The following is a 15847-nucleotide window of genomic DNA, read 5'->3' on the forward strand; positions in this document are numbered from 1 at the left end:
AAGGATGCCACTTCAGGGGCCCTGCCATCTGCCGCAGCACAGGTGAACAGCTCCCAGAGAGGGTCTGTCTCACTGAGCCCACCCTCTGCCCACCCCAGAGTCACACATCATGGGGGAAGACACAAAGACTCCAAAGAGTCGTGGCTGGAGCAGAAGTGCAGCCAGCATCCTGCCAAAGTGCGCAGGTCTAGAACTGCCACACCTCGCTGTGAGTTGGGCTCTGCAGCCCCAACCTCTTTGGGCCTTGGTTTCCTTATTTTTGGAACTCGGAGGTCAGGAGAGGTTCTGCCTGCCAGATGCCTCTCATGGCATCTGGCACGTGGTGAGCACGCAGCCTGCAGTGTTTGCTGGGAAGCAACAGGCTCTGGAGAGTCATCAGCAACTCGCTAGTGGAGGCTCTGTCTGAAGGGGATAAGGAAGATGAGTAAGCCCAGAGACGCCACCCAGATGGAGAATGTGGGGTGGGCTTGGAAGTGCCGCTCCATACACTGCCCATCGCACCACCTGTGGAGGGGGAGAGAGTCCTTTGGGGCCCATTCCCACCCCACCTGGATGCGTTTTGCAGTCCCAACAAGTATATAAACAGTTGTTCTGCCTGAAGCACCGTCTGACGAAAAATTGCCCATGCCATCTGGAGAAGAACGGCTCTCCAAGGGCATAGCTTGCAGGCTGCCCCAGGCGGCTCGCACAGAGGCCTCCTTGCACCTTCCCTGAGAAGATCTAGATGGGGAGTGGGGCACGGGATGGGACTGTTGCTGCAGTGTTGGAATTCTAGTGGAAGCCCAAAATGGAAAGCCATTACCAAGTACCCCCAAGCTAAATAGTGACAGAAAGCCACCTCGTGTTGGCGACCAAACTGCTGAGCGGTCCTCAGCTCATCACCCTCCTCAGCCCACAGCCAGGGGAAGATTTGGATTCACCGGGAAGTCTGAGCAGAGGAGAACAAAACTCTTCTGCTTGTACCTGTGCTGAGTCCAGCCTATAGTTCCACAAACTAGTTACGAGCGTTCGCTTGTCCCAGTCAAAATCAGGATCCCAAGGGTCCAAAGATGCTATCAGCCTTCATATGTAAAGGCAAAAACCTGGGACCTCCAGAACCCCACCAAATCCTGTGTGAGCTAAATGAGAACTCGGGGCTCTGAACATATGGCCGTTACATGTGCCCCCTTCTACATAGACTCAGAACATCTGCTCCTCCATCCACGGGGAAGATCTCCCATTGGTTTATTTCCAGGCTGCACTTGTGATGACCTTTCTCTTCCTGCTTATCAAGAACACAAATAAATACCCAGAAAGATCAACTTCCACAGCCTCTGCCATCCTCTGACTTCACAGGTCTTCGAAAAAGGGAAATCAGATAAGACTTGGGTACAAACACTTTACTGCAGGGCACATTTTAATCCCACTCTACCTCTTACCTCGGGCCTCCTTATGGTATCCAGGGAGCCTCTGGGAGGCATTTGGTAAGGACAGATGCTCTGTTATAAAGGGTGCTAGGGTGGCTTGGCACTGTCCCGTGGAAGGCCAGCTTTGGGGGAAACAGGAGTCCCACCAGGACAGCAGTGAGTAAACGGGAGCATGGTGCCAAACCGAGGGGTGACTGCAGGTTCCATGTCCCCTCTCTGCCCCTCAGCCATCAGCTCACAGACCACTGTGTGGAACCATGGTGAGCTGCTCACCCGGCGCATGCCACACGTGGGCAACAGGATGATTCCACCATCAAGGGGAACCCTCAGGTCTGTTCTTCATTCTCTCTGGGAACTGCCACAACAGCTCTGAACATTTTCTCTTTACTACAACTTTTAAAAAGTCCACCATGGTCTTTAATCCTGGTGACAAATGTTTGTCAAGCACCTACTCTGTGCCAGGCTGAATGCCCACCACATGGAAAGTGCTAGGCTCCTCTTCCCTGCTCTGCTGGTCTTGTCCTCCCGCTGGAACAAGAGCCTTGGGCCATAACCACCCTGCCAGCTCTTCGAGGTCACCCCTACTTTCCCTTTGTCCTTTTGTGCCTCCTGCGTTTGTTACTGTATAGCCCTGCTGCCGTCTTTGCATACACTCATTAGTCCTGTGGCCTCTGACTATATTTCAACCACCTGGCGACTCTCCTGCTCTCAGCCTGCCTTGGTCCTCAACCCAGAGTGAGGGTGTGGGGAATGGCTGGCCTCTGGGCTAGAAGAGGTGCTCCTTAGCCTTTGGGGCTAAAGAGCTGCTCAGGAAGGGCCACGATAAGTAGGGATCAGTATTGCTGATGCTGAGAAAATCTCAGATGGGGCACTGGCTTATCTTCTGGGGGTTTCCAGCTCACTCCTCATCTGCTGCTTCAGGCAGGCAGTAGTAGCTCAGGTGTCCAATGCCTCTCTCTGCCTAGCCAGGGACTGTCTGTCCCCAGGGTCTGGCTCTCCAGCCAGCTCCTATCAGGGGCCACTTTGGTGCCAAGGCTTCTGAGTGCCCTGGCCCTGAGTGTGGCCCACAGCTCTTCACCCAGTCAGTCACTATGTCCCGTGTGAGTGGAGTTCCTCTTACATCCCCACCACTCCCTAACCCCAGGACACAGCTTGTTCCCGTGCAGCCCACAAGCTGGGCCTTGTAGTAGTGGTGGTGGGGTTCTGCAGGGCACTGTCATGGAGCCTGAGAACAGGTGACCAGAGAGGAAGGAAAGAGCAACAAGCTAGAGAACTGGTGATTGTGCCCTAAGCATCCTTCCTAGGCTGGTACAACCTCAGGCAAGGTTTACCTTTCAGAAGCATGCCAAGGTGGGTCTTCTCTACACCTCAGTACACCTGGTTATCACTAGGTACCTCAGAGCTCACACCACCCACACTCACGCTGAGACAAGGGCAGTGCTGGCAGGCCAAGGAGGCAGTGGGCTTGGGGGCACTCCCTGTTACCCTCAGTTTGGTTTCTGGGCTCCTGCCTGGAGCCTGGGAGGTAGCCTCGGCCATGCAAAGATTTCCCTTGAGATGTGAGCTCTGGAAGGCTCAGGCATTCACATCCTAAGCCCGTCAACACCTCCAATCCAAGGGAGCAAGCTGAGAAATCGGGAATGTGACCTTCAGTGCTTAATTGCACATTGAAGTCCTCACAAAAGCTTTGCAAAAACATGGAGATTTATGAGGACAATATGGTGCTATCCTGGTAAAAAGCTGACATTTAAATTGTTCTCATTTTATATCTTTGTAATGAAATTCTTTGTTTCCTCTGCAGCCATTTTTGAGTATTTACTAACATTCAGAGAGCTCTCTCCTGCATGCAAAATTTCGAGCTTTATGATGTCAGGCTGGGCTGTGTGACACATGAACATGAGGCTGTTCTGCAGCTCCTGGGGGAGTTCTTACCCCAGGAATAATGAAGGACAAGGTTTCCAGCCACCCCGTTCCTGCCTCTCCCTCCAAGAGGAGGGTTTAAAAAAATCACCAAAGCTTCATATTTTAATGAGTTTTCTTTGCAATTTGTATATAATAGATTTTCAATAACAACCTGTAATTAGTTCATTTTCTGCTATTCAATTGCTCTGCACGGAGGCCATTGACAACTTCCAGCTGGGATCTTTAAAAATGGAAAGTGCTGGAAGACTCAGCTCCAGACAATGACTAGAAAGTGCCCGGTCCCACCATGCAGCTGTTAGAAGTAAACGATTGAGATGGGAAAGGGGCAGTCTGGGTTTGAAACTTCCAAGTGTGGGAGAAGAAGGAACTGGTGCAGGGTGCACTGGCCAGCAATCATCAGTTCTGGTTCAGAATTGAGCCCTCTGTGGTGTAATGGGGGACAGAGATTGTTCCACCCAGAACCCCAGTGCACAGATGGGGGCCCCATTCCTGCCACCCCTGTTCCTCATGCAGATGAGTCACTCATCAGACACTTGCCAAGGGGCTCCTGACAACTTTTCCTGCACAGCAGGGGCAGGTGGAGGCAGATGCATGCACTCAGCTGTGTTTCTGTCTTTATATAGCAAGGGAGAGCCAAAAAGGACAGAGTCCAGACCCCAGAACATCAGGAGGTCTTAGATAACAGCTTTAGGTCCTAGGAGGTCTTAAATAACAGCTCTGGTTGCATGTCTGTCCCAACAGTCATCACCGGAGGCCTTCAAAGGCCAAGTCCAGCTCTCCAGCTGATACTCAGTCCCCTCTCCAGCGGCTTGCAGGCTGGCATACCTGCAGTGATGGGGACTCACCACTCACTGGGCAACTCTGGAGAGGCTGGGGAGGGTCCCCCTCACAGCCGAGCTAAGCTGGCCTTCTCCAAGCCCTGGCCTCTGAGTCTGAGTTCTGCCTCCGGGGCCCTAACTGTGGTGGCGGCCTTTCTACCCTGGGTATTGCCTCCTCCCTCAGTCAAGCCCCTTGTCCCTTGGGATCACATGCTCCCCTCACCTGCCTGGGACACCTTTTTCCTCACCCTCTGCCTAGTTATCTCTAGCTCGGCGTTCAGGTATCCACTCCGATGTCCCTTCCTGACCTCTTGGGACAGTTGGTCCTCCTGCACCCAGGACGCTCTCTCTCAGCTCCTACTTTGTTTATTGGGTCATCTTTCTGCCTCTCTACCCGCTGCCTCTCTACCCAGGTGGCAAGCTCCCCATGGGCAGGGCCTGCTGTGGTCTTGCTCACAGCTGAGTCTCTGCCCAGTGCTTCCCCAAGAGTGAGCTCTGTGTGCGTTTGCTGACCTAACACCACCTCATCTTTCATGGTTCTCCTCCTCTTATGCTTCCCAACCTCAATTCCTCACCCTTTCCCTGTGCTGCTCTCCCTGCCCTGGTCAGGTTCCTCTGAAAGGCTCAGGTTGGTGGCCTGCCTCTTCCATGCCACTCCACGCCAAGTGTACAGATGGGAGATGAGACCGGGCCTGTCCCTCCCTGCCCAGGAGCTCACCCTGCTTTCAGAGAGCCTCAGCCTACGGTAGCTTCAGGGCGGACCTGCTGGCCTTCCCACGGTGGTCTTCCTTCCGCATTTGTCCTCACCTGCAGTGGGGAGCTTGGGTATTTGTGGCTGACGGTTTTGCTCCAGAGGCCTGCCTTGCCAGCCTGCCAGGGCCCAGCATGGAAATACAAACCCATATTCTATGCCTATAAATTATTTAGAAGGTATGCAGATTTGCACAGCCAGCAAAGCTGACCTCCAGGTGAGGTGGCAGGAGTTGGGCCGGGTGGGGCTGCTGGTCTTGGGCTGCTGAAGCCAGGTTCTGCTGCATCACGAGGGATGTGGCTGTAGGCCAGCAGGCACGCAGGGCTGAGGAGCGGGCTAAGCGAGAGCCCTCCTCTGCATACGTGGCTGCCGGAGGTAAAGGTAATTACGCAGCCTGCCAGCCGACCAGAGCACTTACTCTGAGGAGGGTTGAATGGCCAGTTAGCGGCCCTCTGGTCAGGATGAGAGCTTTCTAGTGTGAGTTACTTTCATCTTCAATAAGGCATCATTAGCCCATGTGAGAAGCAGGGGCTTCCCTCACACCCAGTTGCTCATCCAGTGATTAGGGATGTCCAGGCTGGGGATGTCCAGCTGGCCTGCTCCAGCCAGGCTGATGCTTCTCTACCAAGGGCTCCAGCTGTGGGGCCCCAACAAGGCACTTCCTCTGCCCCTGTTTTCTCAAGGCCCCCTGGAGGCATGCAGAGACCCTCTGGGATCGCTGGCCACAGCTGCATGTCTGGACTCCTCTCCTTGCCCGATGTATTTCTCCATGTCCTTCATGCCCTCAATGAGCAACTCTGACCAAGGCCTTCCTGGGTGCCATACCCCATGCTGAGCAGGAGTGCAGGATGGGTGAAGCAGCCTCTATCCTCAGGGAGCCTGTGGTCCCTGAGGGGGAAGGACAACAATGGCATGGCACAGGGTGATGGGGCACACACAGAAATCTTCATCATTACCCTCACCGCCGCCATCATTGACCTGGTTAATGTTTGCCTAATATTTACTATAGGCAAAGTCTCATGCTACTAATCACTTTACATTAAGTAGCTCCTTTAGTCCTGAATAACTCTGTGCACGGTTGTTATTCCCATTTTACAGATGGGAAAATTAAAGCCCAGTTTAACCTCTGGTAGGGAACTGTCCAAAGTCACACAGTTAGTCAGTCGCAGAATAAAGATTCAAAACCAGGTCTAGCTTGGACTCTGGAGTCCACACTCTTAATAATCAGGCCACAGCCTTGTTAACCCAGGGCTGTGGGCACACAGAGGAAGGTGTGTGGGGCTTGGTGGAGGAAAGAGAAATTGAGAAAGACCTCCTGGAGGAGAAGACCATTGAGTTGGGGCTTGAAGTTTAGGGAAATCACTGTGAGGACAGTGAGATTCTCTTCAACGGAGAATGCAGATGTGTTGCAAAGTTTGTTTAAATGCATGAGAAAGTTCTAGAATCAGACACGCCCACTAAATCCTGACTCTGCTACCTGCTGACTATGTGATCTTGGGTTAGCTACTTCTCTGAGTTTCAGTTTCTTCATCTGTGAAACTGGACATAGTGTACAGTGCTGACACATGTTAAATGCTGGGTATCACTTTATACAACTGGAGTACTAAGAGCCTATTACTAACTACGGCGATATTGACAAGCAAAGTCATTCAAATGGAACACTGACTGTGAACCCTGTCCTCCAGCGCTGGCCTCAGGAGACTCACGTGGAAGTGGGCTTCTTGAAGCCCTCTCTATGTACTTGAAGTCAGGACAGCACCCCCAACTCTGTCTCTGGGAGGAGGTGGTGAGACTCACACCTTCTGTCTCCCAATTTTCTTTTTTTTTTTTTTTGAGATGGAGTCTCGCTCTGTTGCCCAGGCTGGAGTGCAGTGGTGCGATCTCCACTCACTGCAAACTCTGCCTCCTGGGTTCACGCCATTCTCCTGCCTCAGCCTCCCAAGTAGCTGAGACTACAGGCGCCCACCACCAAGCCCGGCTAAGTTTTTGTATTTTTAGTAGAGACGGGGTTTCACCATGTTAGCCAGGATGGTCTGGATCTCCTGACCTCATGATCTGCCTGCCTCGGCCTCCCAAAGTGCTGGGATTACAGGCGTGAGCCACCGTGCCCGGCCTTGTCTGCCAATTTTCAATTCCTCCCTTGGCCACTCCAGCTTTAACTGTTTTGTGCCCTTGAGAAAATGAGGGACCAAGGGCAGTGAATCAGTTCTTCGGCCACTTTATTTGCAAATCCTGTGTGGGAAAACCAGTGTCTTCCTTTGGGGTAGGGGGAGTCACTGGCACCCATGGTCTTGGCTTCAGCCAAAACTGAAACCAGCCCATAGGCATTGCTTGCTCTCCAAATTCAAGAGCCAAGTAAATTCAGATAAAATTTTTGATGAACCCCATGCTATTTAAAATCTTGTTACTTACTATCCAAAACTCAGGAATGAAATGGAGTAGAACAAAGCAGTATCCTTGCCATCTAAGCTCCTTGTCTGAACTCACCCTACCTAGATAAAGAGCCAGATAGATCTGGGTAGTGAGGATGCTTGCGGTTGCTTATTTTACCATCCTGCTCAACACAAGGTGGGTGTGAGGATTGGCTGAGATAGCATGTGTGGAAGTCTGGTATGGGGCCAGGCACTATTAGTTCCAAAGGATAGTGGTGTGGTAAACGAAACTGCACCATCCCTTCACTTTGCAACAGAGATGGTGAAAAAACAGATGTAAATTCACCAGGTGACCATATCATCTGTTTCATAGAGTTGCCCTGGCTGTAGTGGTAGTGCTGTAGATGAAAACACTGTTTTCCTTTCTGCTTGCCTGGAGCTTACACATGTCAGAGGTGAGGAAGGGTGTCTGGCTCCCCTACATTCAGCACCCCAGGTCCTCCTGACACCCTGCCTGTGTGGTCACCGGACCTTCACACGTGAAGCCCTTTATCTGCTAGCTGCTCAAAACCTTCCCATGCATCCAACACATTCGTGGGCTTTGATCTCATAGGAGTAATTAAAAGGACAACTATTTTCTAAAAAGCAGAAGAAACTTGCAATGAATTTGAAGTGAGAAAAATCCTTGTTTTAGCAACGTGTTTTCCCCTGATCCCAACCTGAGCACTCAGAACAGTGCAAAAACCATGCATCATCAAGAAGCTTTTTAGATGAGCAACTTTGAGGTTAATTTACTGTGATGAACAGACAGGGCCAGCACACACCTTGCTTATGGTGACCCTGGAGCCTGGGTCTCTGCCATGGCAGGGACAGGTGGCACTACTCCTTGTTGGGGTGGTGGGGGGTGGCGTGGGGAAGGAGAGGCAGAGGGCACTGCTGGAGAAGGACACTGAGCCTTTAGTTCCTAGATCAGCCTGTGGTTTGGGAAGCCAAAACAATGCAAAGAGAACGTTTAGTTGACAAAAGGAGGAAGTGGGGGCACCCTCATATTTCATTCCTGTCCCTGTACAGAGAGAGGCAATTGGGAGCCTTGGCTCCATCTGACAATCAGAAAGAGACTTAACTGACTCCCATGACTAGGCACTGCCTGCCACCCTGGAGGAGAGTCACCTGTTCCTCAGAGCCAGGAAGGGGGTACAGCCCCATCACGAACCAGCTCAGCACAGACATCCACCAGCTGTGGGACTCCTAGCATCACCCTCCACCAGCTGCAGACTGTGGCAAGCATGGCCCAGCCAGGGCCAGGCCAGCTGCATGGGAAGACATGATTCAGGAGACCACCCCCACAAACCTCAAAAACTGATAAATACAACTTCCTTCTCTGGGTACAACAGCCCCAAACCCATCATCCTTTAGTAAAGCGATTGACTCCGCATCGGTAGGCTACTGAGCTGGAGTCACCCCACAGACCTCACCCTGCCTTATACCCAAGGACGCCAGCAAAATAGAGACTAGAAAATAAAATGCTAATGCCTCAACCTCTGCCAGCCCATCAGCTCTAGTTTTTAAAATTAAATCCAGAATGTTGTTGCTGAAATGTTTGAGATATTACTTTCTGGGTTTTAGTGAGATTTCTTTAATGCCCATCGATTGCTGGGTAATAACTTGTACCTATATGTCTCATTTCAATTACCTATTTAAAATTCGCTGAACCATAAATCTATTACCAGAGCTATGGGAATTTAGTTTAGAGTTCCTGTGACTTTGAAAAACCATTGATCCCCATATGCTCCAAGTGGCTGCATGTCAAGCCTTTATAGTGGGGGTTAACTCATTTTGCGGCTTCCTTAATGGCTGTGAGTTTACGTTTTATTGCATATCTATTATTTGGGCTGGGCTGTGATGAATGGTTTGGCTGTCTGGTTCAAAACAAGTCCAAGGCGACAGCAGAATCTAATTTGCTTTAAAAATGATGATTATAAAGCTTTCCAAATAATAATCCAGGAACGAAGGGAGCTGACACCACATTGCTCTGTATGAGACATGTGGCTGGAGGTCAGGTAATGACGTCCTTCCCTTTCCAGGGTAGCTCATGTTTACAATGACCTTACTAGGGAAGCTGGAGAGGCCTTCTCTTTCATCATAGGCAATAGGGATGCTTCCATTTCCTTGAGAGCAAAGCCAAGAGCATGCTGTTTGGCCCCAGACCCACTCATGGGAACTGTGCTCATAAAGCAGAGGCTGCTATGGTACCAGGCACCAAGATGGTGCCCAAGCAGTGCTATAATCTGCTTGATGACGGCATCTGGGACATTAAGTAATGATGCCTGGTATGCCCCACAAATCCCTGAAGTCCAGTCTTGGCCTCTGGCTCTAAAAATGCACTGAGCTTTTCCTTCATAACTCCTTTGGCAGAGGGGTCTAGGCTCAGAGAGTGTTTTTGGGAATGTCTTGGAACTATCCCCAGAGAACATGTTGCTGCTTTCCTGACTCAGAGAGCTGCTGTTCCTGTAACCTGCCCTAGCTGCTCGAGCCTACTGTTGTTCATGTTCCATGGAATCATCAAGGAGTCTCAGTGAGGGGAGGTGGGTGGGGAAGATATTGCCAGAAGTGGACTCCGAGGGCAGGAGAGAGGGTCTTGTCCAGTGACATGCAGGTCAATGTATAACAACCGGCTCCCTAGAGAAGAAAAAATGTCCCCCCTTCCCCTTTTTGGTAGCATATGTGTGGTGTGAATTTCTATGATGTAAATATTCTCAACGTGGCCAATTTAAAGCGACCAAGTGTCTAACTGTTTGCTTGTAAAATTCCTGAAAATTTAACAATGAGCTCTCATGAACCAGGTGTGGGGAGTTGTGGATACTTCCACACATTCCAAATGCATTTCTGGAAATAATCTCTTTGGCCCACAAGACAAACACCTCCGCAGCAGGATAAGCCTACCAGTCACTCTCACCTTATTATGAACCAACATAGGCAGGTATGAGTTTGACTAGTGGGCGGGGAGGAGGATGACGGGGACCCTGCACAGTCACAGTAAATCAAGCAAAGCTCTGGAACCTGGGGTGGACTTTGGTACTAAGGATGATATGAACTGGAAAGGCCCCTGCAACCACGTCAAGCTCATGGACACTGCCCATAGGGAAGAATCATGCTTGCTTCTCTCCTCTTATGTCATCCAAGTACCTCTCTATTTGCCACAAGAGCCCTTCTTGCCAACAAATCACAAGGATCCCTCTTCAGGCCTTGTGAAGGTGTGGAATAGCAACAGCCCAAAGAGATGTCACTCTGAAGCAGGAATACTTTGCTGGAAAACGGGAGTCCAGGTAAAGGCTGGGGTTGAGGGAGGATACCAGGCTCTGTGGCTCAGGGTACTCAGTGCCCCTGGGGGTGGGGTGGGCTTGCACCCACCTCTTGAATGCCAGGGCTTGCACTTAGGAACTGTGAGCTGGCAGGTCACACCCAAGGGTATATGCATTGCCCACTTTAAGCAGAGCTTGAACATCTTCTAATGTAAGGGGCTTCATCTCTTTTGGGCCAAGGATGTCCCCTCTAGTCTCCAGCGTGGGCCCAGCACTGCCCTTTCCTCTCCTCTCTGCTGACCCCTGCCTGGAGCTACGAATGGCTCTTGTATCTTGCATTTCTTGTAAGTCCTGTCCCAGCACCACCTCTGGTTAATGTAATCTCTTGGAAGATCACCTCAAGTAAAAGATACAGGTCCTGAAGGCATCCCATCCACTTGCATATGCATGAGGCACTCTTTGGAGGGGCACTCAGAGTACCTCCTCTGTTTTCAAACAGCACCCACTTTCCCTTCTTCTCCAGGGATCCCCTGCCTCTCTTCACATTGGACCCTCACTCTCCATTGTCCTTGGGTAGTCACTGCTCCCTGCCGCTGCATGGCCAAGCCTCCAGGCCCTCCTGCAGGGTGTTTTTCTCCAGGTAGGGCTCCCCACATGGCCAGGCCCTAGCCTGAGGATAGCCCTAAAATCTGCTTCCTTCTCCTTCAGTCATAGAACCCCCAAAGGGTGTTCACAGTGCCCTCACAGCTATGCTTCAATTACAGTCCTGGGCCCCTCAAAGAGCGAGAAAAATCTTTATTAAAAAGGAACAGGGCAAGCCCTCTCTGGCCCCATCCACTCTCCGTTTAGTCTTTTCTTAAAGCTCAGGCTTGTTGCAGAACAAATTCACCAGCTTTCCTCTGTATAAGAAACCAACCTGGGAGACAACTGAGGACAGACTCCAGGCACCCAACAGCATTTTGGTGCAGAAGCACCTGCAGAAATAAGCCCTTTTCCCACTGGGACCCAACTTACGGAAGGCCATGTAGAACTCGCGGAGGGTCAGGGAGCTGTCACTGTTGTAATCGTCAAATCGGAGGAGGTCACCTGGTGAGCAACCAAGTAAGTCTTCATCCAGGTCCTGCTTCTTCAGCACATGCTGTGGGGTGAGGAGGAGAACAAGGCCAGAATCAGATGAGTTTAGAGTCATAGGCATTGATGAAAATGACTCAGGCCAAGAGGGAATCCAGGGACAGCTCAGTGGGCCTTGAGGGGTACCTGAAGCTCTTTGATTTTGTCTTGTCTGACTCCTTCATTTTATGGATGAGAAAACTGGGGTTCAGAGAGGGGAAGTGGCTTCCCCAGGTTCACACAGTGCTTGGGGCAGACTCTAGACTAGAGCTCAGGTGTGTCTTTTCCTTGTCTAGGCAGACAGACCCAGACAGTCTAAGATGGGAATCCTTGAGGCCACCTGCTCTACTGCTGTGTGCTATAGATGGGGAGACAGGAGAGAAAAGACCCCATCGGATAAACCCAGCAAACAGTGGCTGAACTCAGTGTGGGGACAGAGGTCTGCCAGCTTCCAGCTGCATAGAGCTGGAGGTCACTGCTGCATCATGCACCCACCCATCAGCCCTTACCCATGGCAGGCAGTGCTGCCTGGACACAGCACACTCCCAGACCCCTCCGTTCTATCCACCTAGACCTGAGCTTCCCCCCTGCCTGCCTTGTCCTGCCCAGGACACAGATGTCCACCCTTGTGACTCTGGCACGGAGGCTACAGACATAGGCTCTCGTAAACTCCTCTCTGGTTGTGGTCTGAGCCATAGGACACAGAGGCTGCCCAGCATGATCAGCCACACGTCCCAAGGTAACTAAGGGTAGAAATTCTAGGCACCCTCACTCAGCTGGAGCTACAGCCAGAAGCCAGTGTGCTCGGAACTGAAGGTCTTGCAGGGAAAATGCTCAGAAGGAAATCTCAGAAGAAAGAAAATGATTTTATTTTATTTTGGTGTGGGGGGAGGGGGGCAGAGGCATTTTCTCTTTATTTAACATTCTCAGCTTGGTCTGCTGTATTAAAGGCAATTTAATGTGATAATGTTAAAAAAATGACCCTTCACCAAGCAAGTAAGAGTGTTCGATAAAAGGGAGATCAACCATAATGCCTGAGATCAATCTTCCAAAGATGGAAATTTCCCTTTGTCTATTTCTGCATTGGAAATTGATTAACTTTTTATAGGACTGACAAGTTCTTCCCCAGCACCTTTGATTCAGTGTCAAGGAAAGGCCCACTTTAGCCGGGCTCTGCTTGGCAGATTTATGAAATGGACTTTAACTATATTAAATTTTAAAGAGGAAATCATTGTCCAATTACCACGCTTGTTAATGGCTTCAGGTGCCTCAGGCCACATATCTGCCAGGTTAGAATGAAGTGCCTGGTAAGGCTCTGTTTACCTGGAGCCATGTGGGCCTGGATACCAAGAGCTCATAGCAGCTTCTGTTCAAGACAAGCTGATGCCACCTGCCCTTGGTGCTCCCTGCTCGGTAGTTTGAGGAATTGCCAGGTGGTTCTTCCTGCAAGTAGCTGTAACTATCAGGACCTGGGATTTTCCCAGAGCAGCCTGAGTCACCTGCAGGTCCCTGGCCCTGCCCCTCAGGGTCTTAGCCAGAGCTGGGGCCTAGTGCTGATGGAGGTGGTGACATGCTGGCAGGGCGGTTGCCCCGGGGGCCATGGGCAGCAAGCCTCCTGGGATGCAGGCCTTGAATGGGCTTGCGCGAGCCACTCAGGTATGAGTGAACAGAGCAGAGTCATCTGAGATTCCCAACGTGCTTCCTGAAAGCAGGCTCAGGACTGGCTGGGACGGAGGGCCTATGTTCCAAAGCTTCTGGTGGCTACTCCTTACTAGGGTTCTGGAGGTACTTGTTGTCCCTACAGACCTTGAAGGAACCATGTGGTGCCTCTTGGTGGGAGCCATTCTCTCCAGGGAGATTCCAAGTGCCCTGAGGAGAGCAGGTGCATGCAAGTCAGCCTGCCAGGGTTTCATCTCAGTTCCATCATGTCCCAGGCAGTGAACAACTCAGGCAAGTTGTCTGATTTCTTAGAGCCTCAGTATCCTCATCTGAAAATATCTGTGAAGTGGAATAATAGTCGTCCCCTCCTTACAGCAGAGGATGGTCGAAAGATTTAAGGAGGAAATAATAATAATAAAAATGATGATGATGGCAACAATACTGATGACCTCTCTATTGAAACACACCATGTGGCCAGGCACAGTGGCTCACACCTGTAATCCCAGCACTTTGAGAGGCCAAGGTGGGCGGATCACCTGAGGTCAGGAGTTTGAGACCAGCCTGGCAAAATGGTGAAACCATATCTCTACTAAAAATGCAAAAATTAGCTGGGTGTGGTGGTGTAAGCCTGCAATTCCAGCTACTTGGGAGGCTGAGGCAGAAGAATGGCTTCAGCCTGGGAGGCAGAGGCTGCAACGAGCCAAGATTGCGCTACTGCACTCCAGTCTGGGTGACAGAGCGAGACCATGTCTAAAAAAGAAACATACCACATGCCAGGTACCACTCTAAGCCATTCACTATCTTAGCTCATTTAACCCTCATGATGACCCTGTGAGGTTCACAGCTGAACACAGAGGCACAGCGAAACGACATTGTCTCCCAAGGTCCACTAGCTCATACATGCTGGACGCAGCACTTGACCTTAGGCAGTTTGACTCTAAAGTCTGCATTCTTTGCCACTATCCTACATAACAACGAACTCTTCTGTGTTTATTAATCATAGGTCAAGGGCCTAGCTCAATGTCAAGCACATGGCTCAATGAATGTTAGGGCACTCCCCACCCCACTTCTTCCCAATGACCGGGCCACAGCCTTGAGAAGGTCCCTGTGCCATGTTTAAGATATCTTTAAATTGGCATCAAAGGTGGGAACCTGTCTTTATTATCCATCCACTGGGTGGACAGTCTGTGGTCACAAGAAAAAGGCTGCCCACCGCCCCCCACCACCCAACTCAGGGAGGCTGATCTCACTCTCCTTGCAGATCTTGTACCTGCCTGGTGCAGCTCTAGGGCTACAGACCCTTAGAAACAAACCAGTAAGCAGAAGTAGGAATGCAGGCCCCTCCAGCCCACCCCAGCTTTTCTACCATCAGGACCCTACAGGCTCCTCCCTGCAACTGGCAGTGGCTGTGGCCCCAGTGAGTGAGGTCACTCTTTCCTTGCTTTCTATGTTGCAGACACTAACTACCCCTGCTCCACCTTGTAGCTCGACAAAGGACATGTGTGCTGTGTTGAACACTGCAGTCTCAGGGGAGGGAGGCAAACCTCAGGGTGTAATGCAAGTGTTTTCCCAAATGAGAGCAGGGCTTGGTGGGGGTTGACGGGTAGACACAGGGCTTTCTGCAAACAAGCAGTCCGAGGTTTGGGTTCTTGATCTTTGGATACTAAGGAGCAGTGATGTCCTAAGGTAGAAGACTTGGGGACTTCCAGGTTATAGCTCCAATGGTGTTCAATGGAAACCAAGCACTGCTTCCTTGTAACTTTTCTGCTGAGTAACTAATCCTACTCAAGGAAGAAAAGATTGATTTCCTAGTCAAAACATCAGAGACCAGGCCCTCTGAAGTGAGTTTTTTGCCAGATAGCTGAGAGGGCCTGAAAGCTTGTTTGTAAATAGAGGCTAAAGGTGGCTGGTGGGAAGAACCTGACCTCATTTTGTTTGTGAGATGTTCTCAGAGGTATTGAACACATGCTCTTAGACACCAGGGGGCCGGGGTGGGAAATGGAAAACTGGATTCCTCCATCATGTGACTTTCACTGAACACGATGCCCACCTGAGCCAGTTCGGAGCTGCTGAGGTGGCCATTGCCATCTGCATCTAAGTCCCTGAACAGAGATTCCACCAGGAGGCGCTTCTGGGAGGCAGGGTCTTGTCTGCTGTCTCCTTCTTGGAGTGGCTGCAGACGGGTCTGGAGTGCCAGAAGGACATTCTTCAAGCGGGCGTAGCCGGCCATGGTGCACGTGTCACCTGAAAGAGAAGGTGAGGTTATTATTTTGAGACTTATCCCGTGGTCTTGAGAGAACATTCTTGCCGCTGGTCCATTCATCTCACTCACAAATAGCCACCAGGCGTTCACTATGTGCAGTGCACGGTGCAACTGTCGTCGATGGGACTTGTTTGTGTTCTGCTCACCAATCCATCCCATAAATATTGATGGAACATGGAATGCATGCTACACATGATGCAAATGCTGGAGGGAATCTGTCCATCTGACAAATATTTGTTGAGC

General features: G+C 50.9%; 1 protein-coding gene across 4 annotated transcripts in view, besides 2 other annotated features; it reads right to left on the reverse strand.

Annotated features, from left to right (window-relative positions):
- Positions 1–15847, reverse strand: part of FSTL4 (follistatin like 4) — a 645613-nt gene that overhangs the window by 104613 nt on the left and 525153 nt on the right. For all 4 annotated transcript variants that reach the window (XM_011543283.2, XM_011543284.3, NM_015082.2 and 1 more), the window contains 2 exons: positions 15392–15585; positions 11587–11710 (listed from right to left, as the gene is read on the reverse strand). In XM_011543283.2, the coding sequence (XP_011541585.1) occupies positions 11587–11710; positions 15392–15585 (318 nt within the window). The remainder of the gene's footprint in view (positions 1–11586; positions 11711–15391; positions 15586–15847) is intronic.
- Positions 12766–13267: an enhancer, noted in NCBI's record as "H3K4me1 hESC enhancer chr5:132649525-132650026 (GRCh37/hg19 assembly coordinates)". NCBI's record gives its function as "activates a minimal SCP1, AML or CMV promoter by ChIP-STARR-seq in naive H9 embryonic stem cells {active_cell/tissue: H9 hESC(naive)}" and the evidence as "EXISTENCE:reporter gene assay evidence [ECO:0000049][PMID:30033119]".
- Positions 13268–13767: an enhancer, noted in NCBI's record as "H3K4me1 hESC enhancer chr5:132650027-132650526 (GRCh37/hg19 assembly coordinates)". NCBI's record gives its function as "activates a minimal SCP1, AML or CMV promoter by ChIP-STARR-seq in naive H9 embryonic stem cells {active_cell/tissue: H9 hESC(naive)}" and the evidence as "EXISTENCE:reporter gene assay evidence [ECO:0000049][PMID:30033119]".

Source organism: Homo sapiens, chromosome 5 (assembly GCF_000001405.40).
Source record: "Homo sapiens chromosome 5, GRCh38.p14 Primary Assembly".
In the NCBI taxonomy this organism is placed as follows: Eukaryota; Metazoa; Chordata; class Mammalia; order Primates; family Hominidae; genus Homo; species Homo sapiens.